We start from the raw sequence: 26,721 nt of genomic DNA, 5'->3' as shown, positions 1-26,721 counted from the left end.
TCATTCCATCTTTTGATTCTTAGAACATGGTTTTCTTTAGTTGTCTGAATATCCTTAAATATCCTCATTGTATTATTTGTCTTCTAAGTCCAAGATAAAAGAATGATTCTATTGCCTGATTTTGTTTTTGTTGTCATTGTTTTTTTTGTTAATTTCAACTTTTATTATATATTAAATGGTATACATCATGTAGATTTGTTACTTGAGTAAATTGTATGATGCTGTGGCTTGAGGTTCTAGTGATCCTATCTTCCAGGTCATAAACATAGTACCCAACATGTGGTTGTTCAGGTGGTTTCTTTTTTGCACGTTGATTTGTTAAGTTTTTTGTAGGTTCTGGATAGTAGGCCTTTGTTGGATGTATAGTTTGCAAATATTTTCTCCCATTCTGTTACTGTTTGTTGATTCTATTGGTAATTTATTTTATTGCACAGAAGCCCTTTACTTTAATTAGGACTCATTTGTCAATTTTTTTTTTTTTTTTTTTTTGCAATTGCTATTAGGAACTTGGCCATAAATTATTTGCCAAAACCCATGTCAAGAAAAGTATTTACTAGGTTTTCTTTCTTTTTAAAATTATTTTTATTTTTCTTTAAGTTCTGGGATGCATGTGATGAATGTGCAGGTTTGTTACATAGGTATACATTTGCTATGGTGGTTTGCTGCACCTATCAACCCATCATTTAGGTTTTAAGCCCCGCATACATTAGGTATTTGTCCTAATGCTCTTGCTCCCCTTTCCCCCAATGCCATAATAGGCCACGGTATGTGATGTTCCCATCCCTGTGTGTGTGTCTTCTTATTGTTCAACTCCCGCTTTTGAGTAAAAACATGCAGTGTTTGGTTTTCTGTTCCTGTGTTAGTTGGCTGAGGATTATGGTTTCCAGCTTCATCCAAGTCCCTGCAAAGGACATCATGAACTAATTCATTTTTATGGCTGCATAGTACTTTATGGTGTATATGTGCAACATTTTCTTTATCCAATCTATCATTGATGGGCATTTGGGTTGATTCCAAGTTTTTGCTAGTGTAAATAGTGCTGCAATAAACATATGTGTGGATCTGTCTTTATAGTAGAATGATTTGTAATCCTTTGGGTATATTCCCTGTACTGTGATTGCTAGGTCAAATGGTATTTCTTGTTCTAGATCCTTGAGGGATTGCCATACTGCCTTCCACAATGGTTGAAATAATTTACACTTCCACCATCAGTGTAAAAGCATTCCTATTTCTCCACATCCTGACCAGCAACTGTTGTTTCCAGACTTTTTAATGATCACCATTCTAACTGGGGTGAGATGGTATCTCATTGTGGTTTTGATTTGCATTTCTCTAATGACCAGTGATGATGAGCTTTTTTTCATGTTTGTTGGCCAGATAAATGTCTTTTTTTGAGAAGTGTCTGTTTAGCCAGTTTTCCCAGCACCATTTATTAAATAGGTAATTATTTCCTCATTGCTTGTTTTTGTCAGGTTTGTCGATGATCAGATGGTTATAGAAGTGTGTTCTTACTTCTAAGGCCTCTGTTCTGTTCTATTGGTCTATATATCTGTTTTGGTGCCAATACTATGGTGTTTTGGTTACTGTAGTCTTGTAATATAGTTTAAAGTCAGGTAGCATGATGCCTCCAGCTTTGGTCTTTTTTCTTAGGGTTTTCTTGGCTATATGGGCTCTTTTTTTGTTTCATATAAAATTTAAATTAGTTTTTTCTAGTTCTGTGAAGAGAGTCACTAATACCTTGATGGGAATAGAATTGAATCTATAAATTACTTTGGGTGGTATGGCCATTTTCATGATATTGATTCTTCCTATCCATCAGTATGGAATGTTTTTTCATTTGTTTGTGTCCTCTCTTATTTCCTTGAGCAGTGGTTTGTAGTTCTTCTTGAGGAGATCCTTCACGTCCCTTGTAAGTTGTATTCCTGGGTTTTTAAATTTTCTTTGTAGCAATTGTGAATAGGAGTTCAATCATGATTTGGCTCCCTGCTTGTCTATTATTGGTGTATAGGAATGCTTGTGATTTTTGCACACTGATTTTGTATCATGAAACTGCTGGAGTTGCTTATCACCTTAAAGAGTTTTGGGGCTGAGATGATGGGGTTTTCTAAATATACAATCATGTCATCTGCATACAGAGACAATTTGACTTCCTCTCTTCCTATTTGAATAGACTTTATTTCTTTCTCCTGCCAGATTGGCCTGGCCAGAACTTCCAATACTATGTTGAATAGGAATGGTGAGAGACGGCATCCTTGTCTTGTGTTGGTTGTTAGAGGGAATGCTTCCAGATTTTACCTATTTGGTATGATATTGGCTATGGGTTTATCATAAATAGTGCTTATTATTTTGAAATATGTTCCATCAATACCTAGTTTATTTAGAGTTTTTAGAATGAAGCGGTGTTTAATTTTATTGAAGGCTTTTTCTGCATCTATTGAGATAATCATGTGTTTTTTATCACTGGTTCTCTTTATGTGATGGGTTATGTTTATTGATTTGCGTATGTTGAACAAGCCTTGCATCCCAGTTATGAAACCGACTTCATCGTGATGGATAAGCTTTTTGATGTGCAGGTGGATTCGGTTTGCCAGTATTTTATTGAGAAATTTTGCATCCATTTTCATCAGGAATACTGGCCTGAAATTTTCTGTTTTTGTTGTGTCTCTGCCGGGTTATGGAATCAGGACAATGCTGGCCTCATAAAATGAGTTAGGGAGGAATCCCTCTTCTTCTATTCTTCGGAATCGTTTCAGAAGGAATAGTACCAACTGCTCTTTGTACCTCTGGTAGAATCCTCATGTGAATGCGTCTGGTCCTGGGTTTTTTTTTTTTTTTTTTTTTTGTAGGCTATTAATTACTGCCTTAATTTCAGAACTTGTTATTGGTCTATTCAGGGATGTGACTTCCTCCTGGTTTAGCCTTGGGAGGGTGTATGTGTCCAGGAATTTATCCACTTCTTCTAGATTTTCTAGTTTATTTGCATAGAGGTGTTTATAGTATTCTCTGATGGTAGTTTGTATTTCTGTGGGATCAGTGGTGACATTCCCTTTATCATTTTTTATTGTGTCTATTTGATTCTTCTCTCTTTTCTTCTTTATTAGTCTGGCAAGTGGTCTATGTATTTTGTTAATCTTTTTGAAAAACCAGCTCCTGTATTCATTGATTTTTTTTAAAGTTTTTTTGAGTCTTTATCTCCTTCAATTCTGCTCTGATCTTATTTTGTGTCTTCTGATTGCCTTTGAATTTGTCTGCTCTTTCTTCTGTAGTTCTTATAATTGTGATGTTAGGGTGTTGATTTTAGATCTTTCTCCCTTTCTGATTTTGGCATTTAGTGCTATAAATGTCCCTCTTAACACTGCTTCAGCTGTGTCCCAGAGATTCTGGTATGTTCTGTCTTGGTTCTCATTGGTTTCAAAGAACTTATTTATTTCTGCCTTAATTTTGTTATTTACCCAGTAGTCATTCAGGAGCAGGTTGTTGAGTTTCCATGTAGTTGTGTGGTTTTGAGTGAGTTTCTTAATCCTGAGTTCTAATTTGATTGCACTGTGTTCTGTGAGACTTTGTTATGATTTCCAATCTTTTGCATTTGCTGAGGAGTGTTTTACTTCCAACTATGTGGTCAATTTTAGAATAAGTGCTACGTGGTGTTAGGAAGAATGTATTCTGCTGATTTGGGGTAGAGAGTTCTGCAGATGTCTATTAGGTTTGCTTGGTTCAGAGCTGAGTTCAAGTCCTGAATATCCTTGCTACATTTCTGCCTCATTGATCCATCTAATATTGACAGTTGGGTGTTAAAGTCTCCCACTATTATTGTGTGGGAGTCTAAGTCTTTTTGTAGAACTCTGAGAACTTTTTTTTTTTTATTAATCTGGTGCTCCTGTATTGGGTGCATGTATGTTTAGGATAGTTAGCTCTTCTTTTTACATTGATCATTTTACCATTATGTAATGCCCTTCTTGTCTTTTTTGGTCATTGTTGGTTTGCAGTCTGTTTTATCAGAGACTAGGATTGAAACCCCTGTTTTCCTTTGCTTTCCATTTATTTGGTAAATATTCCCCCATCCCTTTATTTTGAGCCTATGTGCGTCTTTGCACGTGAGGTGGGTCCCCTGAATACAGCACAATGATGGGTCTCGACTCTTTATCCAATTTACCAGTTTGTGTCTTTTAATTGGGGCATTTAGCCCATTTACATTTAAGGTTAATATTGTTGTGTGTGAAATTGATTCTGTCATCATGATGCTAGCTAGTTATTTTGCACGTTAGTTGATGCTGTTTCTTCATAGTGTCATTGGTCTTTATATTTTGGTGTATTTTTGCAGTGGCTAGTACCAGTTTTTCCTTTCCATATTTAGTGATTTCTTCAGGATCTCTTGTAAGGCAGGCCTGGTAGTGACAAAATCCCTGAGCATTTGCTTGTCTGGAAAGGATTTTATTTCTCATTTGCTTATGAAGCTTAGTTTGGCTGGATAAGAAATTCTGAGTTAAAAATTCTTTTCTTTGAGAATACTGGCCCCCACTCTCTTCTGGCTTGTAGGGTTTCTGCAGAGACATCTGCTATTAGTCTGGCGGGTTTCCCTTTGTAGGTAACCTGACCTTTCTCTCTAGCTGCCCTTAACATTTATTCCAGCCTTTCAACTTTGGAGAATCTGAGGATTACCTGTCTTGGGGTTGCTCTTCTTGAGGAGTACCTTAGTGGTATTCTCAGTATTTCCTGAATTTGAATGTTCGTGTGTCTTGCTAGGTTGGGGAAGTTTTCCTGGGTAATATCCTGAAGTGTGTTGTCCAACTTGGTTCCATTCTCCTCATCACTTTCAGGGACCCCAATCCATCGTAGGTTCATTCTTTTCATATAGTCCCATATTTCTTGAAGGCTTTTTTCATTCCTTTTCATTCTTTTTTCTCTAATCTTGTCTTCACGCCTTCCTTGCATTGGTTTAGAACACACTTCTTTAGCTTAGATGAGTTTTTTATCACCCACGTTCTGAAGCCTACTTCTGTCAATTCGTCAAACTCATTCTGCATGCATTTTTGTGCCCTTGCTGGAGAGGATTTGTGATCACTTGGGGGAGAAGAGGCATTCTTGTTTTTGGAAGTTTCAGCATTGTTGTGCTGTTTTTTCTTCATTGTAGTGGATTTATCTACCTTTGATCTTTGAGGCTGGTGACCTTTGGATGGGGTTTTGTAAGGGTTTCTTTATGCTGATGTTGATGTTGTTGCTTTCTTTTTGTTAGTTTGTCTTTTAGCAGACAGGCCCCTCTTCCGCAGGTCTGCTGAAGTTTGTTGGAGGTCCACTCCAGAACCTATTTGTCTGGGTATCACCAGCAGAGGCTGCAGAACAGCAAAGATTGCTGCCTGCTTCTTCCTCTGGAAGCTTAATCCCAGAGGGGCACTGGCTTTATGCCAGCCAGAGCTCTCCTGTATGAGGTGTCTGTCAAACCCTGTTGAGAGGTCTATCCCAGTCACGAGGCACAAGGTTTAGAGACCCACTTGAGGAGGCAGTCTCTTCCTTAGCAGAGCTTGACCACTGTGCTGGGAGAAACCCCCTTGTCAGGATCTGCTGCTCTCCTCAGAGCCATCAGGCAGAAATGTTTAAGTTCACTGAAGCTGTGCCCACAGCCACCCTTTCCCCCCAGGTGCTCTGCCCCAGGGAGATGAAAGATTTATCTATAAGCCCCTGCCTGGGGCTGCTGCCTTTCTTTCAGAGATGCCCTGCCCAGTGAGGAGGAATCTAGAGAGGCAGTCTGGCCATAGCTGCTTTTGCCATGCTGTGTTGATTTCCCTTCAGCCTGTACTTTCAGGCCTTGTTAGCACTCTCAGGGGAAAACTGCCTAGTCAAGCCTCAGTAATGGCGGATGCCCCTCCCCCCACCAAGCTAGATCGTCCCAGGTTGACTTCAGAGTACTGTGCTGGCTGTGAGAATTTCAAGCCAGTGGTTCTTAGCTTGCTTGTCTCCATGGGAGTGGGAACCACTGAGCGAGACCACTTGGCTCTCTGGCTTCAGCCCCCTTTCCCTCTTTCCAGGGGAGTGAACGGTTCTGTCTTGGTGGAGTTCCAGGCGCCACTGGGAAACAACAAGAAAACAACTCTTGCAGCTAGCACAGTGACTGCCCAAACAGCCTCCCAGTTTTGTGTTTCAAACCCAGGTCCCTGGTGGTGTAGGCACAAGAGGGAATCTCCTGTTCTTTGGATTGCAAACCTGTGGGGAAAGCATAGTAAATGGGCTGGATAGCCCAGTCTCTCAGGGCTTCCCTTGGCTAGGGAACGGAGGCCCCCACTCCTTGCACTTCCCGGGTAAGGCAATGCCCAACACTGCTTCTGCTCGCCCTCCATGGTCTGCACCCACTGCCTAACCAGTCCCAGCGAGATGATTAGGTTACCTCAATTGCAAATGCAGAAGTCACTCCCCTTCTGCGTTGATCTCACTGGGAACTGCAGACTGAAGCTGCTATTCCTATTCAGCCATCTCGACATCCATCTTCCTAGGTTTTCTTCTAGGATTTTTTTGTTTTTTTTTGGATGGAGTCTTGCTCTGTCACCCAGGTTGGAGTGCAGTGGTGCCATCTCGATTCACTGCAACCTCTGCCTCCTGGGTTCAAGCGATTCTCCTGCCTCAGCCTCCTGAGTAGCTGGGATTACAGGGCACCTGCCCAGCTATCTGTCAATATTTTTATAGTTTGAGGTCTTACATTTAAATATTTAATCTACTTTAACTTAGTTTTCATATATGGTGACAGGTAGAGATCCAGTTTCATTCTTCTGCATACGGCAGGCAAACTATTATAGTACCATTTATTGAATAGAGAGTCCTTTCCTCCATTGCTTACTTTTGCTCATTTTGTTGAAGATCAGATGGTTGTAGGTGGCAGGTTTATTTCTGGGTTCTCAATTCTGTTTCCTTGGTCTATGTGTCTTTTTTTGCAGCAGTACCATGCTGTTTTGATTATTGTAGCCTTATAGTACATTTGGAAGTTGGGCAATGTGATGCTTCTGTATTGGCTCTTTTTGATTAATATTGCTTTAGCTGTTGAGGTTCTTTTTTTGTTCCAAATGAATTTAAAAATAATTTTGTCAAATTTTGTAAAAATGGCATTAATATTTTGATAGGAGTAGTGTTGAATCTGTAAATTGCTTTGGGCAGTATGGCCATTTTAACTATGTGGATTCTTCCAATATATGAGCATGAAATATTTTCCCATTTATTTGTGTTACCTCTGATTTCTTTTAGCTGTGTTTTGCAGTTCTGCTTGTAAAGATCTTTACCTCATTGGTTAGATGGGTTCCTAGGTATTCCTTTTTTTTTTTTTTGTGGCTATTGTAAATGGAATTCTGTTCTTCATTTGATTCTCACCTAGAACAATATTGGTGTATAAAAATGTTAGGATTTTTGTACATTGGTTTAGTATATTAAAATTTTAGTGAATTCATTTATCAGTTCCAGGAGACTTAGCAGAGTCTTTAGGGTTTTCTAGGTATTGAATCATATCAGTAAAGAGAGAGAGTTTGATTTTCTCTCTTTTTATTTGGGTGCCTTTTATTTATTCCCTTTCTTCATTGCGCTGGCTAGCACATCCAGTACTATATTGAATAGGAGTGGTGAAAGTGGGCATACTTGTCTTGTTCCAGTTCCCAAGGGGAACCGTTCCAGTTTTTGCTCATTCAGTATTACGTTGGCTGTGGGTTTGTCGTAGATGGCTTTTACTATTTTTAGGTATGCTACTTTAATGCTTAATCTGTTGAGGGCTTTTGTCATTAAGGGATGTTGGATTATATTATAGGCTTTTTGTGTATCTATTGAGATGATCATGTAGTTTTTGCTTTTGATTCTGTTTATTTGGTGAATCACATTTATTGATTTCTGTATGGTGAATCAACCTTGCATCCCAGAAATAAAACTTGCATGACTGTGTTGGATTAACTTTTTGATATGCTGGTGGATTTAGTTTGCTATTATCTTGTTGAGAATTTTTGCATCCATGTTCATCAGGGATATTGACTTGAATTTTTTTTTATTTTACTTTACATTTTGTCTCTGCCAGATTTTTGTATCAGAATGCTGCTGGATTCATAGAATGCATTAGGGAGAAGACTCTTCTTCGATTTTCTTGGGAAAGTGTGAGTAGGATTGGTATCAGTTTTTCCTTATATGTCTGGTAGAATTTGGCCGTGAATCCATGGTCCTGGGCTCTTTTTTGTTGGTAAGTTTTTTTATTAGTGATTCAATTTCTGAACTTGTTATTTATCTGTTCATGTCTTCACTTTTATCCCTGATTCTATCTTGGAAGGTTGTGTGTTTCTAGGAATTTATCCATTGTATCTATATTTTCTAACTTGTGTTCACAAAGGTGTTCTGTATAGTCTCTAAGGAACTATTCTATTTCTGTGGAATCAGTTGTAATATCATCTTTGTCATTTCTCATTGTGCTCATTTGGATCTTTATTTTTTATTATTCCTTGTTAGTTTAGCTAATGGTATATCAATCTTGTTTATTCTTTTGAAGGAGCAACACTTGTTTTCATTGATGTTTTGTATGGTCTTTTAGGTCTGAATTCAGCTCAGTTCTCTGATTTAGTTGTTTATTTTCTTCTACTTTATTCGGAGTTGGATGTTCTTTTTTCTTGTTTATCTGACTGTCTTTAGGTTGTTAATTTGACATCTTTCTAACCTCTTGATGAAGGTGTTTAGCACTACAAATTTGTCTCTTACCACTGCTTTAACTGCATCTCAAAGATTTGGTAAGCTGTGTCTCCTATTTCATTAATTTCAAAGTAATTTTTAATTACTGTCTTAATTTTGTTTTTTGCCCAAGAGTTATTCAGGAGAAAGTTGTTTAATTTCCATTTTCTGGTAGTTTTGAGAGATCTTGGTATTGATTTCTGCTTTTATTGCACTATGGTCTGAGAGTTTGCTTGGTATGGTTTTGATTTCTTTGAATTTATTGTGATTTGCTTTATGTCCAAGGATGTGGTGGACCTTAGAATATGTTCTGTGTATGGATGAGAAAAATATATATTCTGTGGTTGTTGTGTGGAGTACTCTGTAGAGGTTGATTGGGTCCAATTGATCAAATGTCAAGTTTCAATCCAGAATTTCTTTGTTAGTTTTCTGCCTCAGTGATCTGTCTAACTCAGTGAGTGGGATGTTAAAATCCCCCGTTATTATTTGTGGCTGTCTAAATCTTTCCATTGGTTAGGAAGAACTTCCTTTATGAATCCAGGTACTTCTACATTGGGTGTGTATATGTTTAGGATAGTTAAGACTTCCTGTTGAATTGAACTCTTTATTATTAAGTATTACCCTTCTTTGTCTTTTATGACCGTTGCTGGTTTAAAATTTGTTAATCTAATGTAAGAATAATGACTCCTGATCTTTTGTTGTTGTTGTTTTCTATTTGCTTGATAGATCTTTCTCCATCCTTTTACTTTGAACTTGTGGGTGTCATTGCAGTTGAAATGGGTCTCTTGAAGACAGTAGATTGTTGGGTTTTATCTTTTTATCTAGCTTGCCACTCTATGCATTTTAAGTGGTACTTTTAGACCCTTTACATTCAGGGTTAGTATTAATTTATGAGATTTTGATCCTGTCATCATGTTGTTGACTGTTTTTTAGACTTGACTGCATAGCTGCTTTATATTGTTTATGGGCCATGTGCTTGAGTGGATTTTTGAGGTAGCAAGTTTTGGTCCTTTATTTTCATATTTAGCACTCTCTTAAAGAACTCGGGTAAGGGTGGTCTGGTAATAATAAATTCCTTTAGTACTTGCTTGTCTGGGAAGAATTTTATTTCTCGTTTGCTTATGAAGTTTAGTTTCATGGAATATGATATTCTTGGTTGAAAATTCTTCACTGTAACAATATTGAAAATAGGCCCCCAATCTCTTCTCACTTGTAGGTTTCTTACAGAGAGTTCTTACAGAGAGTCTGGTGGGGTTTACTTTGTAGGTAACCTGATTTTTCTCTTTAGCTACTTTTAAGAGTTTTTCTTTTGAGTTGATCTTGGTGAATCTGATGACTATGTACCTTCCGGTTTGTCATCTTGTGTAGTATCTACAGGGGGTTTGTGTATTTATTGAATTTGTATGTCCTCCTCCCTGGGACGTTTGGGGAAATTTTCATGGACTATATCCTCAAATATGTTTTACAAGTTACTCTCTCTCCTTTTCTTTTGAAAACACCATGAGTCATACATTTGGTATCTTTACATAATCCCATATTTCTCAAAGGATTTTTTCATTTTCAAAAATTCTTTTTTCTTTATTTTTGTCTGACTGAGTTGATTGTATAAGCTGGTCTTCCAGCTCAGAGATTCTTTCTTCATCTTAATTTTTCTGCTGCTGATGCTTCAGATTCTATTGTGGAGATCTGGAAGTAAATTTTTCAGTTCCAAAAATTTAATTTGGTTCTTTCTTAAAATGGATATTTTATCTTTCAGCTACTGAATTGTTTTATTGGATTCCTTGGATTATGTTTCAACTTTCTCCTCATTCTCACTGAGCTTCCTTGTCATCCAGCTTCTGAATTCTATGTCCACAGTCAGCTCACTCTGGTTAAGAACCATTTCTGGGAGGCTAATGTGTACGTTTATAGGTAAGGGCAAACACTGGCTTTTTGAGTTGCCAGTTCTTGGATTCATTCTTTCTCATGTGTAAGGGTTGATGTTTCTTCACCCGTGAGATAAGTTGAGGATAGTCAGCTGGCTTTGTTTCTGGGTATATTTCAAAGGGTCATGACTTTGTACAGAATGTTTATTTCTGGCTGGATCTTTTCCTTAGTTTTCACAGGTGATACATACTTGCAAAATATTTTAGGTTTGCATTTTGACCTGAGATCCAGCAGGTGGCGCTTAAGAGTGCTAGCAGGCAGATAGGCTCTTCCTACTCTCTTTCAGGGCTCTTCGGTGTTCTGGCCAAGATGACAGTAGTCCTCTGTGGTGTGGGGGAGAGAGGTGACTCGCTCACCTAGATGGCTCCTGGGCTTTGGAGGAGCCCCCTTCGATCACTGGTTCCATGCCCTCACTTCTTTTGTTAGGTGTTCTGGTCCATGGGCTCCCTCAGGCAGGGACCACATTTAGTAGACAGGTCATATCCTTGCCAGGCTGGCCCTGTGGAACAAGGCACACCCCAATCCTCTGCCAGCCCATGAACCTGGGTATCTCCACTTCTCTCAGTGATCTGAGAACGAGGGCTCACCCTTGCTTGGCCACCACCAAGTCCTGATCATCTAAGAGCTGTGGGATGGGGTGGGGTCACTTAATCCCCTGTCTAGGTGCTTTCCGGGGGTTCAAGAAGTTGTGGCCACACACAGAGTTCAGGCAGATGTGGGAATGCTGGGCTGGAAGCTCTATCAGACATGGATTTCCTGGCTATGAGTGGCGGGTTTGGGTGCAGTTGCCTGACCTGCTGTTGGGTTATATTCTAGAGGCTGTTCCTGCCATCAGAGTTCAGACAGAAGTGGGACTGCTGGGCTGGAAGTTCTAGCTGCCTGGCTATGAGTGGTGGTGGGGGTTGTGGAATCACCTATCCTGCAGTTTTTCTGTTTCCCTGGATAACAGGAGGCTGTGTCCACTGGCAGAGTTCAGAAAGAAGAGGAACTGCTGGGCTGGAAGCTCTAGCAGGCATGGCCTGCTGGCTACAAGTGGCAGAGGTGGGCATTGTTGTTTGTGGGTCTCATTTTCCTTTTTTACTTGTATGCCTCATAAATTTTTGTTGAAAACTAGATGCTTTAGTTAATATATTTTATCAACTCTTGATTCTGATTTTTCTCTACCTCTGGGGTACGTTGCTGTGAATTTTGTTAGTATCACTGAAATTTTAGCTTTCAGGGAATTTTTTGTATCTAAGATCTTCCATATTCTGCTTCATGTAAAATCAGCCTCTCTTGGGCAGGGTTGAAGAGCTGCAAGTTCTTATGACCAGCCATGACCTTGTTTAGAACTTCCACAATAAGGTGCCACAGGTAATGGAAGCTGTTGGATGTAGCAGTATTCTCTACTTGCCCACAACAGATGCTGTGTAACATGGGTCTGGAAAGAATGGGAGTTGTCAGTCTTTAAGGTCTGCCTTGCCCTACCCAGTGTGAAAGTTTTGTACCTCAAAGCTGTATCTGAGAAGCGGAGGGGAAAACAGATCCCAGCTTAAATATCATAGACTCCAACTTTTCTTATTAGGAATCACTAATTTTTCTTGAATAAATGCTCCTGAATTTGCTTTATGCCATTTGATCATTTTTCACACTTGAAATGGTTGTTTCCAGTAATTTTTCCAGTTTTATTGCTGGTTTGCTTGAGAGAGAATTTGCTGAGCTTCTTACTCTGTTATTCTGGGATGTTCATTCTTATTTATATTTTTAATTATGTATTTGTTAGTTTAACAAAAAATAATTATGCATTTTGTGCAACAATGCAATGTCCTAGTCAATGCGGATTACATAGGTGAACAAGATAGAAACAGACCACAGCCTTTGAAGAGCTAACAATATAGCAGATTATTTTGTTAAGTAGAATCTTTGCTTAGACTACATGAACATTTCATTTTGTGTGTCTAGCTTATCAATTGGGGAGGTGACCAAGCCCACTCTGTTTAAATATCACAAAGTCAAGTTTGTTCTCAGAGAAAAAGAATGCTGTGATCAATTGTTAATGACTGGCATGGGTACAAGAGGGACTCTTGAGAGTGGCATGTTATGATTTTGCCAAACCTGACATATAAATCTTGAGTTTCACTCTAATGCTGGATGCTGAAGAGGTCACAAAAGATCTGCTTAGCATTCCTGGCACCAATATCAATGGGTTTCTCAGATGAGATCTTTAAAATGCTGTATGGCCAATGCTGTTCATCTCAGGATATAAATGGTCCAAGAGATCTTTGAGTACAGACACCTAAAGTGGGGAGAGGGGAGAAAGCCAGTGAAAGGCCACTTTTGTAAGCTGTTTCCTTCCATCTGTCCTGGTAATCACCTCTCCCAATTATTATGACATATAGGTGTTATGTTGATAATCGTGGTAGGACTAAAGTGGAAGAAAACTGTAAATAACTTCTTTGAGATACAATGATATGAAACATTGTTGATTGCATGTTATCAGGAAATAGCATAGGCTAATCAAATATTCAAAGAATCTGCAGGCTAGATTATTCTCTTTCATTACTGTGTTATTCCAGTGACATTATGCAAAGAAAGCAGGATGGGGCAGGGTGCCAAGACAAATAAATTTTTTTTGCAGTTTTTAGCATGGCTGTGAATGTTCTCCATGACATGCTTACCTTTTCAAACTCATGCTCCTCCTCTCACTCCTCTATTAAAAACTTACTCTCTCCAGTTAGTGTAGTGTTTATACCCTCTGTCCACAGTGTTCCTGTGTGTTTTTCTGTTCTATTGCTCATGGGGTTCGTACTGCGTGGACCATTGTAATACTTACTCAACATCCTTCCTCTGATTAATTTCTAGTTCTCCTTCAGGACCCAGATCAGGGGTCACCTATTCCAGAAAGCCTTCCTTTGTTTTCTTCTACTGAAATTCTCTGTTAACATTTGTTTGTCTCTTGTACTAAGCTAGGAGCTCCCTGAGAGCATGGAATGTATCTGATTCATCTAACACCAGTGCATACAGTATAGTTCACAATACATGCTTAATAAATTTATTCTCATTGTAGAGTGTCAATGGAGCAAAGTAGGAGAAGGTACTTTGCTTCACTGAGCACTAAGTGAGGCAGAAGAACAAGGGAAGAGAGTTAATTAGAAGCAATAGGATTTGGAGTCAGACAGACCTGGGTTTGAATCCTTATCACTTCACTTCATAGCTGAGAGACCCTGTTCAGCCTCCTGTTTCCTCTTCTGTGTAATAAATAAGATCACTTCCTCTGAAATCATAGGGCCTGGGTTAAAGTCCCAGTTCGTATATTATCTTAGCTATGTGACTTTGGAAATGTTTCCTAAAGATTTTTGTGTCTAAATTCCTTCATCTGTAAAATGAGGACACTAATAATTTCTCCTTTTTATAGGGCTGCTGTAAGATAAAATGAGATGAAACATGTAAAACTCAGAACAATTCTAGGAATAGATAAAACAAGGAAAACACATATAACTAATACTACGAAGTAAAGCAGAGATATTGATATTACCTACATTAATATCAATATAAACATATACATGTCTCCAATAAATGGTATCATTATCACTATTATTAATAATTTTAAAGCACTCTACACATTATTACATTATATCCTTCCAACCATCCTTCAAAGTCAATCTAGCATCCTCATCTTAGCTGTAAGAAAGCCAAGGCTCAAAAATTAAATATCTGATTTAGTGTACCCATCTTGTAAGTAGGAGACAAACATAAAAAGCTTATACAAGCTTGAGAAACTGAGAGGGGTATTTCTCAGTAGGAAAAAAAAGAACCAGGAATAAAACATTAACCTATTTGGCATCCAACAATTCTACATCTTTGACAAAAGGTCTCACAAACCTCTTATATTTTCAGCTTTAGTAAAGACAATAAAAACAAAACATGAATGAGCATTATTAACCCATACATGTAGTGAAAATAACATTGCATTTAAAGTCAGATAGAATACAACTGAATTTCAGTCCTGACCCTGACCCTTAAATCACTTTATACATCATTCAGTTTCCTCAGGTTTTACACAAAGATAACTTCAGTTGCTGTGAGGGATTTGGGGGAAACATAAATGAGATAATGTATAGAATTTCTGGCTTCTAGTATCTCGTATATATTAGATACTTGCTAAATTGCAGCTATCATCTATCATGGGTCTTGTATCCATATTACCTAGAATATCATCTGGCTTACAAGGAACACTCTTTAAATGTGTTCAAGGCTAAACTAGAGGGAAAAGTTACAAACCATAGGAAGCCTCAAGCTGAGGAAAATCCTCCCCAAAAGGTATAAACAGTATATTTCTCCTTGGGTTCTAGCCTATTGACTAAAGTATTTTACCTGTCTTCAGAAACTGAGTAACTAGGTGATAGAAACTTAAACGCAGCAATTTAGGCAGCATGTTTTTTCAAAGACTTAAGAAATTAAGGCCAGGCATGGTGGCTCATGTATGCAATCCCAGCACTCTGGGAGGCCAAGGCGGACAGATAATCTGAGGTCAGGAGTTCAAGACCAGCCTGGCCAACATGGTGAAACCTGTCTCTACTAAAAATACAAAACTTAGCTGGGTGTGGTGGCACACTCCTGTAATCCCAGCTACTTGGGGGTCTGAGGTAGGAGAATCGCTTGAACCTAGGAGGTGGAGGTTGCAGTGAGCCGAGCTTGTGCCATTGCATTCCAGCCTGGGCAACAAGAGCAAAACTCCAAGAAGGAAGGAAGGAAGCAAGGAAGGAAGGAAGGAAGGACAGGAAGGAAGAAATTAAGAGTGAGTGATCAAAGCCAGGGAGAGAGTAAGGGTAAGGAAATTAAGGATAGGGACTGTTTAATATCCTCTCCCTCATCCTCCACAACCCTTATGTTAATTAATTTACACGTATTATTTCATTTAATCTTAACTGCAACACTGCAAGGCATAGATTACCCTGACTTCCTAGATAGGAAATAAGTTGAGAAAGATTCAATGTCTTCCTCCAGATGCACAAGTAGAAAATTGCAGAGCAAAGGATTCCAAATTCTAACTTTAAGTGGACCACAGGTTTATTGGGTGAGAACGTGTATTTGATGAAGAGTTCTCTATCTTCATCTCAAAGAATAGTGTGGTTCCCTGGGACAAGACTCTGGAGAAACCATAGAAACTGACCTAGTACATGTCCAGGGGCCTTTAGACTTCACATAATCATGATCCATCCATGGCTTAAAAACCAGGTGAAGAAAATTAGTTTGGTGAATAGAATGAATTGAATTCAAAGGGGATGATAGCTAAGTCAAGTAAATGATCCCTTGGAGAATTGTCTTCTGTACAAGAATCTTCTGGGAAGCCACAGATCCTGATAAAAGCTTAACTTGGTTTAATTCAGAGCAGCCAGGGGAGACTTTGGATCTAGTGTGATCACACTGAGTGATAGAAGACAAGTGGCTGAACCTCCCTGAGGCACAGTTCTGTAAAATGTGGATACTCATATGCACTTGTAGGATTATTGTGGAGAAACCAGATATTGGCAAAGTATCTTCAACATATGACATTAGCAACTGTTTTCTGGAGTTTTCAATCACACAGCACTTTTATACCTGCATGTTTAAAACTTGTCCAACTGCAAAAGAAAATTATGCTTTCCTTGGAAACATACATCTCTATTTCTTTAAGATTACAGAATGTAAGGAATACAATTAGGTACCTGTGTAAGCAAAGTTGAAAGGCCGTGTTAGAGGGACATGATGCTTAGGTGCCACTGTGGGATGTGAGGGATATAAGAACACACCATCATCACCTAGCATATCCACCAGCTCTTTACGCAGGCTTTCTTCCACTGCCTTAAACTTTTGGTATTTCTCATTGCTATATCTGAGCTTTTCTTCCAACAAAGCCAGTCCTACAGAATGATATCATATATCAAGTTAAGGTAATAAACTTCATTTTAATTCCTAGTGTTCTTTATCTTTTCTTATTCAAGTAATACATGTTCATTATAGAACACTGAGAAAGTAAGTGATGGAAAAGGAAACTTTATAATCTTACTTTTAACTCCTTCTAGTTTGTTTTAGTAATGCTATATATAACATTTCTAGCCTCTGCTACTGCATAGTTCATCATAAGGATTTTTCACATAATTGAAAACCCATTATAGCTGAGCATGGTGGCTCATGTCTGTAATCCCAGCACTTCTCAAGGCCAAGGCTGGCAGATTACTTGAGCCCAGGGGTTCAAGACCAGCTTGGGCAATATGATGAAACTCCATCTCTTAGCCAGGTGTGGTGGTGAGCCCTGTAGTCCCAGCAACTTAGGAGTTGAGGCAGGAGGATTGCTTTAGCCCAGGAGGTCAATGCTGCAGTGAGTCATGATTGCATCACTGCACTCCAGCCTGGACATCAAAGCAAGTCCTTCAGAAAAGGGGAAACAGAGAATAAACGTTTGGAAAATTTGCAGCCTGATGATGGATAGAAAAGAAAAACCCATTTTCTAAGGAGAAATTCAAGCCGGCTGCAGAAATTTACATAAATAAGGAGGATCCAAATGTTAATCTCCAAGACAATGGAGAAAATGTCTCCAGGGCATTTCAGAGTCCTTTGTGGCAGCCCTTCCATCACAGGTTCAGAGGCCTAAGAGGAAAAAATGGTTTCATGGACCAGGCCCAGGACCCTCTTGCTGTGTGAGCCCAGGGACTTGGTGCCCTGCATTCCAGCCCCTCTAGCCATGGCTAGAATCATGGCTAAAAGGGGCCAAGATTGAGCTCAGGTAATTGCTTCAGAGGATGGAAGCCCCAAACCTTGGTGGCTTCCATGTGGTGTTGGGCCTGTGGGTGAACAAAAATCAAGAATTGATGTTTGGAAACCTCTGCCCAGATTTTAGAGGATGTATGAAAATGCCTGACTGCCCAGACAGAGGTGTGCTGAGGGACAAGGCCCTCACAGAAAACCTCTGCTAGGGCAGTGTGGAAGGGAAATGTGGGGTTGAAGCTCCCACACAGAGTCCCCACTGGAGCACTGCCTAGTGGAGCTGTGAGAAGAGGGCCACTGTCCTCCAGACCCCAGAATGGTAGATCCACTGATAGCTTGCACAGTACACCCAGAAAATCCACAGACACTCAATGCCAACACATGAAAGCAACTTGGAGGGAGGCTATACCCTGGAAAGCCATAGGGGTGGAGCTGCCCAAGACCATGAGAACCCACCTCTTGCATCAGCGTGACCTGGATGTGAGACATGGAGTCAAAGGAGATCATTTTGGAGCGTTAAGATTTCAGTACCCCACTGGATTTTGGACTTGCATGGGGCCTTTAGTCCAAAATTTATATTTAGATATTAAGAAATATTACAGGACATCAAACTGGTCTAGGTAGAATATGATTTACATACCAATGGAAGGGATGGTGTACACTGACAGACCCAGGCACCATTTGATCAACTCCCACAGAGGACTGACATGTTTCCCATGGTCACCAAGCAAATCTACAAATTTCACAGGTTCCTGAGATTGAAGGAAAGAAATAAAATACAAGAGTATTTTCTCAAAATAGTAAAGACCAAAACACCTATACAAGACTTATATATGAATAATCATTCATAACAGTAAAATACCAGTCAATTGATGAATACATAAATAAAATTTATTGATAAAATATTACTCAGTCACACAAAGTAAGTGCTGATATATGATACAATATAGATAAAACTTGAAATATTGTGCCTAGTGAAAGAAGCCAGTAACAAGACATCACATACGTATGAGCCTATTCACATGAAATATCCAGAATAATCAAATCTATAGAGACAGAAAGTAGATTCTTGGTTACTTAAGGCTATGGAGGTGCGAGTGGGTTGTAGAGTGACTGATAATGAGTACGAGGTCTCTTTTAGGAATGACGAAAATATTCTAAAATTGTGATGATTGTTGCACAACTCTAAATGTACTAAAATCCATTACATTGTATACATTAAATAGGCACATTGCATGGTATATGAATTATACCTCAACAAACCTGTTATAGGGAAGTGTAGGCAGAGCAGGATGGCTGAATAGAATGCTTCAGCAGTCAGCCTCCTTGCAAGAACACCAAATTAAACAACTATGCATGCAAGAAAACACATTCATAAGAACCAATAAAATGAGCAATCACAATAACTGGTTTTAACAAAATATCAATAAAAGAGGCACTGAAGAGAGTAGGAAAGATGGTCTTGCATTGCCTACACAAACCCTCCCTCATTGTCCATCAGCACCTCATTGAAAGACAATTTGTTTGCTTACAGGATGGTGAGTAAAGTGAATGGGCTACTTTGCATTGCAACCCAGTCCTGCCCTGTCCCAGTGGTATGCAACATAGGGAAAAATTATGCTAGCACCAAAGCAGGGAACATTTAGAGCAGTTCTGAATGAGGGAAATTCTCAGCTCCAGTGGGAGGAACTCCAGTCCTGGCTGGCTCCACCACTAGCTGACTAACATGGCCCGAGGCCTGAAGTAAATTTGAGTGGCCATCAGACCTCAAGGACTACAGGCCTTGGAAAAACCCTGGAGCTGCACTGTTCTCTCAGAGGCAATTGATTTTGGATGCACCCAACCTAGTACAACATCAGCTGTGGTGGCCAAAAGAGTGCATGCATCACCCTTCCTTTAACTCCGGCAATGTAGCTGGTGAAGAGACTTCTGTGGCTTTGGGAAAGGAGTGGGAAAAGTACAGAAGATTTTGTCTTGCAAGTTGGGTACCAGCGTAGCTATAGTAAAATGAAGCAACAAGGAGATTCCTGAAGTCCCCAATAACAGGCCTTAGCTCCTGGATGGTCTTTCTAGACCCACTCTAGTGAGAAGGGAATTGACTGTCCTGAAGTGAAGAACCCAGTACCAGGAGGATTCCCAAACTTCTGACTCAAGAGCACCAGAGTCTCCTATAAACATTAGTCAGGCAGTAGTTGCCATGAGCCTTGGATGAGACCCCGTACTGTGCTAGCTTAATGTTTAATCTAGCACACTGCCAGCTGTAGTGGCCACAGGAGTACTCATGTCATCCCTTTCCCAATTCTAGACAACTCAGCATAAAAACAGACTCCTTCATATTGAGGGAAAGAGAGACAAGAGAGTGACTTACTTTACCTGGTGACCCAGGAAATTTTCCCTTATATTACTCAACACCACCAAAGCAGTGCCTCTGGGATTTGGCAAGAGTCACAGCATTCCTCAGCTTAAGACGCCACCTACTGCTGTTATGGATTCAGTGAAAACACACTTACAGGACAACACTCAATCCTCTTCGAATACACGGGAAGTCTTTCAATAAGGATGGGCCAAACCAAGCACAGACGGTGAATATTGAAAACAACACCTAACTCTTCAATGTTAAGACATTAATAAATGTACATAAGCATCAAAAACATCCAGGAAAACATAACCTAACCAAATAAACTAAATAAGGCACCAGTGACCAATTCAGGAGTGACAGAGATATGTGAATTGTCAGGCAGAGAATTGAAAATAGGTGTCTTGAGGAAGCCTAATGAACTTAAAGACAATGCAGAGAAGGAATTCCAAATTCCGTCAGAGACATTTTTTAAAGATTAAAATTTAAAAAGAAGAAAAATTCACTTGACAAACTGAAAATGCATGAGAATCTCTCAAATGCATTATTAAACAAATAGAATAAGTAATTAGTAAGCTGGAAGACAGGTTGTAGGCTCGAGGTTACAAGATGGCTGAATAGGAACAGCTCCAGTCTGCAGCTCCAAGCATGAGCGACACAGAAGATGGGTGATTTTTGCATTTCCAACCGAGGTACCAGGTTTATCTCACTGGCTTGTCAGACAGAGGGTGCAGCCCACAGAGCAGGGTGGGGCATCCTCTCACCTGGGAAGCACAAGGGGTCGGAGAATTCCCTTTCCTAGCCAAGGGAAGCCATGACATACGGTACCTGGAAAATCAGGAAACACCCACCCTAATACTGTGCTTTTCCAATGGCGTTAGCAAACGGCACACCAGGAAATCATATCCTGTGCCTGGCTCAGAGGGTCCGAAGCCCACAGAGCCTCACTCACTGCTAGCACAGCAGTCTGAGATCAAACTGCAAGGTGGCAGCGAGGCTGGGGGAGGGGCATCCGCCATTGCTGAGGCTTGACTAGGTAAACAAAACGGCTGGTAAGCTAAAACTGGATAGAGCCCACCACAGCTCAAGGAAGCCTGCCTGCCTCTGTAGACTCCACCTCTGGGGCAGGGCAGAGCTGAACAAAAGGCAGCAGAAATTTCTGCAGAATTAAACGTCCTGTCTGACAGCTTTGAAGAGAGTACTGGTTCTCCCAGCATGCAGTTTGAGATCTGAGAACGGACAGACTGCCTCCTCAAGTGGGTCCCTGACCCCCAGGTAGCCTAACTGGGAGACAGCTCCCAGTAGGGGCTGACTGACATCTTACAGAGCTGGATGCCCCTGAGATGAAGCTTCCAGAGGAAGGATCAGGCAGCAACATCAGCCATTCTGCAATATTTGCTGTTCTGCAGCCTCTGCTGGTGATACCCAGGCAAACAGAGTGTGAAGTGGACCTTAGTAAACTCCAACAGACCTGCAACTGAGGGTCCTGACTGTTAGAAGGAAAACTAACAAACAGAAAGGACATCCACACCTAAACCCCATCTGTACGTCACCATCATCAAAGACCAAAGGTAGATAAAACCACAAAGATGGGGAGAAACCAGAGCAGAAAAGCTGAAAATTCTAAAAATCAGAGCACCTCTTCTCCTCCAAAGGAATGCAGCTCCTCACCAGCAACAGAACAAAGCTGGATAGAGAATGACTTTGATGAGTTGAGAGAAGAAGGCGTCCGACAATCAATAACAAACTTCTCCAAGCTAAAGGAGGATCTTCGAACGCGTCACAAAGAAGTTAAAAACCTTGAAAAAAGATCAGACGAATGGTAAACTAGAATAACAGGTGTAGATAAGTCCCTAAATGACCTCATGGAGCTGAAAACCATGGCACGAGAACTACGTGATGAATGCACAACCTTCAGTAGCCGATTTGATAAAGTGGAAGAAAGGGTAACAGTGATTGAAGTTGAAATGAATGAAATGAAGCAAGAACAGAAGTTTAGAGAAAAACGAGTAAAAAATGAACAAAGCCTCCAAGAAATATGGGACTATGTGAAAAGACCAAATCTACATCTGATTGGTGTACCTGAAAGTGACGGTGAGAATGGAATCAAGTTGGAAAACACTCTTCAGGATATTATCCAGGAGAACTTCAAGAACCTAGCGAGGCAGGCCAACATTCAAATTCAGGAACTACAGAGAATGCTGCAAAGATATTCCTCGAGAAGAGCAATTCTAAGAGACATAATTATGAGATTCACCAAAATTGAAATAAAGGAAAACAATGTCAAGGGCAGACAGAGAGAAAGGTCGGGTTACCCACAAAGGGAAGCCCATCAGACTAACAGTGGATCTCTCGGCAGAAACTCTACAAACCAGAAGAGAGTGGGGGCCAATATTCAACATTCTTAAAGAAAAGAATTTTCAAACCAGAATTTCATATCCAGCCAAACTAAGCTTCATAAGTGAAGGAGAAATGAAATCCTTTACAGACAAGCAAATGCCGAGAGATTTTGTCACCACCAGGCCTGCCTTACAAGAGCTCCTGAAGGAAGCACTAAACATGGAAAGGAACAACCAGTAACAGCCACTGCAAAAACATGCCAAATTGTAAAAACTGTCAATGCTAAAAAGAAACTGCATCAACTAATGAGCAAAATAACCAGTTAACATCATAATGACAGAATCAAATTGACACATAACAATACTAACCTTAAATGTAAATGGGCTAAATGCTCCAATTAAAAGACACAGACTGGCAAATTGGACAGAGAGTCAAGACACATCAGTGTGCTGTATGCAGGAAACCCATATCACATGCAGAGACACACATTGGCTCAAAATAAAGGGATGGAGGAAGATCTACCAAGCAAATGGAAAACAAAAAAAAGCAGAGGTTGCAATCCTAGTCTCTGATAAAACAGACTTTAAACCAACAAAGATCAAAAGAGACAAAGAAGGCCACTCCATAATGGTAAAGGGATCAATTCAACAAGAAGAGCTAACTATCCTAAATATATATGCACCCAATACAGGAGCACCCAGATTCATAAAGCAAGTCATTAGAGGCCTACAAAGAGACTTAGACTCCCACACAATAATAATGGGAGACTTTAACACCCCACTCTCAACATTAGACAGATCAGTGAGACAGAAAGTTAACAAGGATATCCAGGAATTGAACTCAGCTCTGCACCAAGCGGACCTAATAGACATCTACAGAACTCTCCACCCCAAATCAACAGAATATACATTATTCTCAGCACCACATCACACTTATTCCAAAATTGACCACATAGTTGGAAGTAAAGTACTCTTCAGCAAATGTAGAAGAACAGAAATTATAACAAACTGTCTCTCAGACCACAGTGCAATCGAACTAGAACTCAGGATTAAGTAACTCACTCAAAACAGCTCTACCATATGGAAACTGAACAACCTGCTCGTGAATGACTACTGGGTACATAACGAAATGAAGGCAGAAATAAAGATGTTCTTCAAAACCAATGAGAACAAAGACACAACACACCAGAATCTCTGGGACACATTTAAAGCAGTGTGTAGAGGGAAATTTATAGCACTAAACGCCCACAAGAGAAAGCAAGAAAGATCTCAAATTGACACCCTAATATCACAATTAAAAGAACTAGAGAAGCAAGAGCCAACACATTCAAAAGCTAACAGAATGCAAGAAATAATTCAGATCAGAGCAGAACTGAAGGAGATAGACACACACAAAAAAAAAACGCTTCAAAAAATCAGTGAATCCAGGAGCTGGTTTTTTTGAAAAGATCAACAAAATTGATAGACCACTAGCAAGACTAATAAAGAAGAAAAGAGAGAGGAATCAAATAGATGCAATAAAAAATGATAAAGGGTATAGCACCACCAATCCCAAAGAAATACAAACTACCATCAGAGAATAGTATAAACACTTCTACACAAAAAAACTAGAAAATCTAGAAGAAACGGATAAATTCCTGGACACACACACCCTCCCAAGACTAAACTAGGAAGAATTTGAATCACTGAATACACCAATAACAGGTTCTGAAATTGATGCAATAATTAGCCTACCAACAAAAAAAATCCAGAACCAGACAGATTCATAGCCGAATTCTACCAGAGGTACAAAGAGGAGCTAGTACCATTCCCTCTGAAACTATTCCAATCAATAGAAAAAGAGGGAATCCTCCCTAACTCATTTTCTGAGGCCAACATCATCCTGATACCAAAGCCTGGCAGAAACACAACAACAAAAAAAGAGAATTTTAGACCAGTATCTCTAATGAATGCTGATGCAAAAATCCTCAATAAAATACTGGCAAACTGAATCCAGGAGCACATCAAAAAGCTTATCCACCAGGATCAAGTGGGCTTCATCCCTCGGATGCAACACTGCTTCAACATATGCAAATCAATAAACGTAATTCATCATATAAACAGAACCAAAGACAAAAAACACATGATTATCTCAATAGATGCAGAAAAGGCCATTGACAAAATTCAACAGCCCTTCATGCTAAAAACCCTCCATAAAGTAGGTATTGATGGCACGTGTCTCAAAATAATAAGAACTATTTATGCCAAACCCAAAGCCAATGTCATATTGAATGGGCAAAAACTGGAAGCATTCCCTTTGAAAACTGGCACAAGACAGGGATGCCCTCTCTCACCACTCTTATTCAACATAGTGTTGGAAGTTCTCTTTAGGGAAATCAGACAAGGGAAAGAAATAAAGAATATTCAATTAGTAAAAGAGGAAGTCAAATTGTCCCTGTTTGCAGATGACATGACTGTATATATAGAAAACTCCATCCTATCAGCCCAAAATCTCCTTAAGCTGATAAGCAACTTCAGCAAAGTCTCAGGATACAAAATCAATGCGCAAAAATCACAAGCATTCCTATACACCAAAAACAGACAATCAGAGAGCCAAATCGTGAGTGAATTCCCATTTACAATTGTTTCAAAGAGAATAAAATATCTAGGAATCCAGCCTACAGGGGATGTGAAGGACCTCTTCTAGGAGAACTACAAACCACCTCTCAACGAAATAAAAGAGGACACAAACAAATAGAAGAAGATTCCATGCTCATGGATAGGAAGAATCAATATTTTGAAAATGGTCATACTGCCCAAGGTAATTTATAGATTCAATGCCATCCCCATTAAGCTACCAATGACTTTCTTCACAGAACTGGAAAAAACTACTCTAAGTTCATATGTAACCAAAAAAGAGCCCGCATCACCAAGTCAATCCTAAGCCAAAAGAACAAAGCTGGAGGCATCACGCTGCCTGACTTCAAACTATACTACAAGGCTACAGTAACCAAAACAGCATGGTACTGGTACCAAAACAGAGATATAGATCAATGGAAGAGAACAGAACCCTCAGAAATAATGCCACATATCTACAACCATCTGATCTTTGACAAACCTGACAAAAACAAGAAATGGGGAAAGGATTCCCTATTTAATAAATGGTGCTGGGAAAAGTGGCTAGCCATATGTAGAAAGCTAAAACTGGATCCCTTCCTTACACCTTATGCAAAAATTAGTTCAAGATGGATTAAAGACTTAAACGTTAGACCTAAAACCATAAAAACCCTAGAAGAAAACCTAGGCAATACCATTCAGGACATAGGCATGTGCAAGGACTTCATGTCTAAAACACCAAAAGCAAAGGCAACAAAAGCCAAAAATGACAAATGGCATCTAATTAAACTAAAGAGCTTCTGCACAGCAAAAGAAACTACCATCAGAGTGAACAGGCAACCTACAAAATGGGAGAAAAATTTGCAACCTACTCATCTGACAAAGGGCTAATATCCAGAATCTACAATGGACTCCAACAAATTTACAAGAAAAAAACAAACAACCCCATCAAAAAGTGGGCGAAGGATATGAACAGACACTTCTCAAAAGAAGACATTTATGCAGTCAAAAAACACATGAAAAAATGCTCATCATCACTGGCCATCAGAGAAATGCAAATCAAAACCACAATGAGATACCATCTCACACCACTTAGAATGGCGATCATTAAAAAGTCAGGAAACAACAGGTGCTGGAGAGGATGTGGAGAAATAGGAACACTTTTACACTGTTGGTGGGACCGTAAACTAGTTCAACCATTGTGGAAGTCAGTGTGGTGATTCCTCAGGGATCTAGAACTAGAAATACCATTTGACCCAGCCATCCCATTACTGGGTATATACCCAAAGGATTATAAATCATGCTACTATAAAGACACATGCACACGTATGTTTATTGTGTCACTATCTGCAATAGCGAAGACTTGGAACCAACCCAAATGTCCAACAACGATAGACTGGATTAAGAAAATGTGGCACCTATACACCATGGAATACTATGCAGCCATAAAAAATGATGAGTTCATGTCCTTTGTAGGGACATGGATGAAACTGGAAACCATCATTCTCAGCAAACTATCGCAAGGACAAAAAACCAAACACCGCATGTTCTCACTTATAGGTGGGAATTGAACAATGAGAACACATGGACACAGGAAGGGGAACATCACACTCTGGGGACTGTTGTGGGGTGGGGGGAGGGGGGAGGGATAGCATTAGGAGATACACCTAATGTTAAATAACAAATTAATGGGTGCAGCACACCAACATGGCACATGTATACATATGTAACAAACCTGCACATTGTGCACATGTACCCTAAAACTTAAAGTATAACAATAATAGAAATAAAAATAAAAATAAAAAAAGAATGTTTTCTAATTCTTCGAAAAAATGACACTGATGTTATGATAGGAAAAGTATTAAATCTGTAGATTGCTTAGAGCAGTATGGTAATTTTGTTTATATTTTTCCAATCCAATAGCATGGGATGTTTCTCCATTTATTTGTGTCATCTACTTTTTCTTTCATCAGCATTTTGTAGTTTTACTGATATATATATATATAATTTTGTATATATTAATTCTTCCAATCCAATAGCATGGGATGTTTCTCCATTTATTTGTGTCATCTACTTTTTCTTACATCAGTAGTCTGTAGTTTT

General features: G+C 39.5%; 1 protein-coding gene across 14 annotated transcripts in view, besides 2 other annotated features; it reads right to left on the bottom strand.

Moving 5' to 3' along the window:
- Positions 1–26,721, bottom strand: part of FAAH2 (fatty acid amide hydrolase 2) — a 367,606-nt gene that overhangs the window by 24,189 nt on the left and 316,696 nt on the right. For 7 of the 14 annotated variants that reach the window (NR_148557.2, XM_011530767.4, XM_005261985.4 and 4 more), the window contains 2 exons: positions 17,969–18,080; positions 16,290–16,484 (listed from right to left, as the gene is read on the bottom strand). The exons of 2 other annotated variants lie outside the window; for them this stretch is intronic. Coding sequence is in view for 10 of the 12 variants with exons in the window: in XM_011530767.4 (XP_011529069.1) it covers positions 16,290–16,484; positions 17,969–18,080 (307 nt within the window). In the remaining 2 variants the exon portion in view is untranslated. Of the gene's footprint in view, positions 1–12,458; positions 12,878–16,289; positions 16,485–17,968; positions 18,081–26,721 lie in introns of those variants that run through there. 5 more of the 14 variants (XM_017029290.3, XM_047441860.1, XM_017029292.2 and 2 more) reach the window with 2 other exon arrangements.
- Positions 10,751–10,890: an enhancer, noted in NCBI's record as "active region_29702". NCBI's record gives its function as "activates an Ori minimal core promoter by ATAC-STARR-seq in GM12878 lymphoblastoid cells {active_cell/tissue: GM12878}" and the evidence as "EXISTENCE:reporter gene assay evidence [ECO:0000049][PMID:35858748]".
- Positions 13,198–13,492: a silencer, noted in NCBI's record as "tiled region #14361; HepG2 Repressive non-DNase unmatched - State 24:Quies". NCBI's record gives its function as "represses a minimal TATA promoter and a strong SV40 promoter by Sharpr-MPRA in HepG2 cells {active_cell/tissue: HepG2}" and the evidence as "EXISTENCE:reporter gene assay evidence [ECO:0000049][PMID:27701403]".

This window comes from Homo sapiens, chromosome X (assembly GCF_000001405.40).
Source record: "Homo sapiens chromosome X, GRCh38.p14 Primary Assembly".
NCBI classification, from domain to species: domain Eukaryota; kingdom Metazoa; phylum Chordata; class Mammalia; order Primates; family Hominidae; genus Homo; species Homo sapiens.
This window is presented reverse-complemented; position numbering and strand designations above follow the sequence as displayed.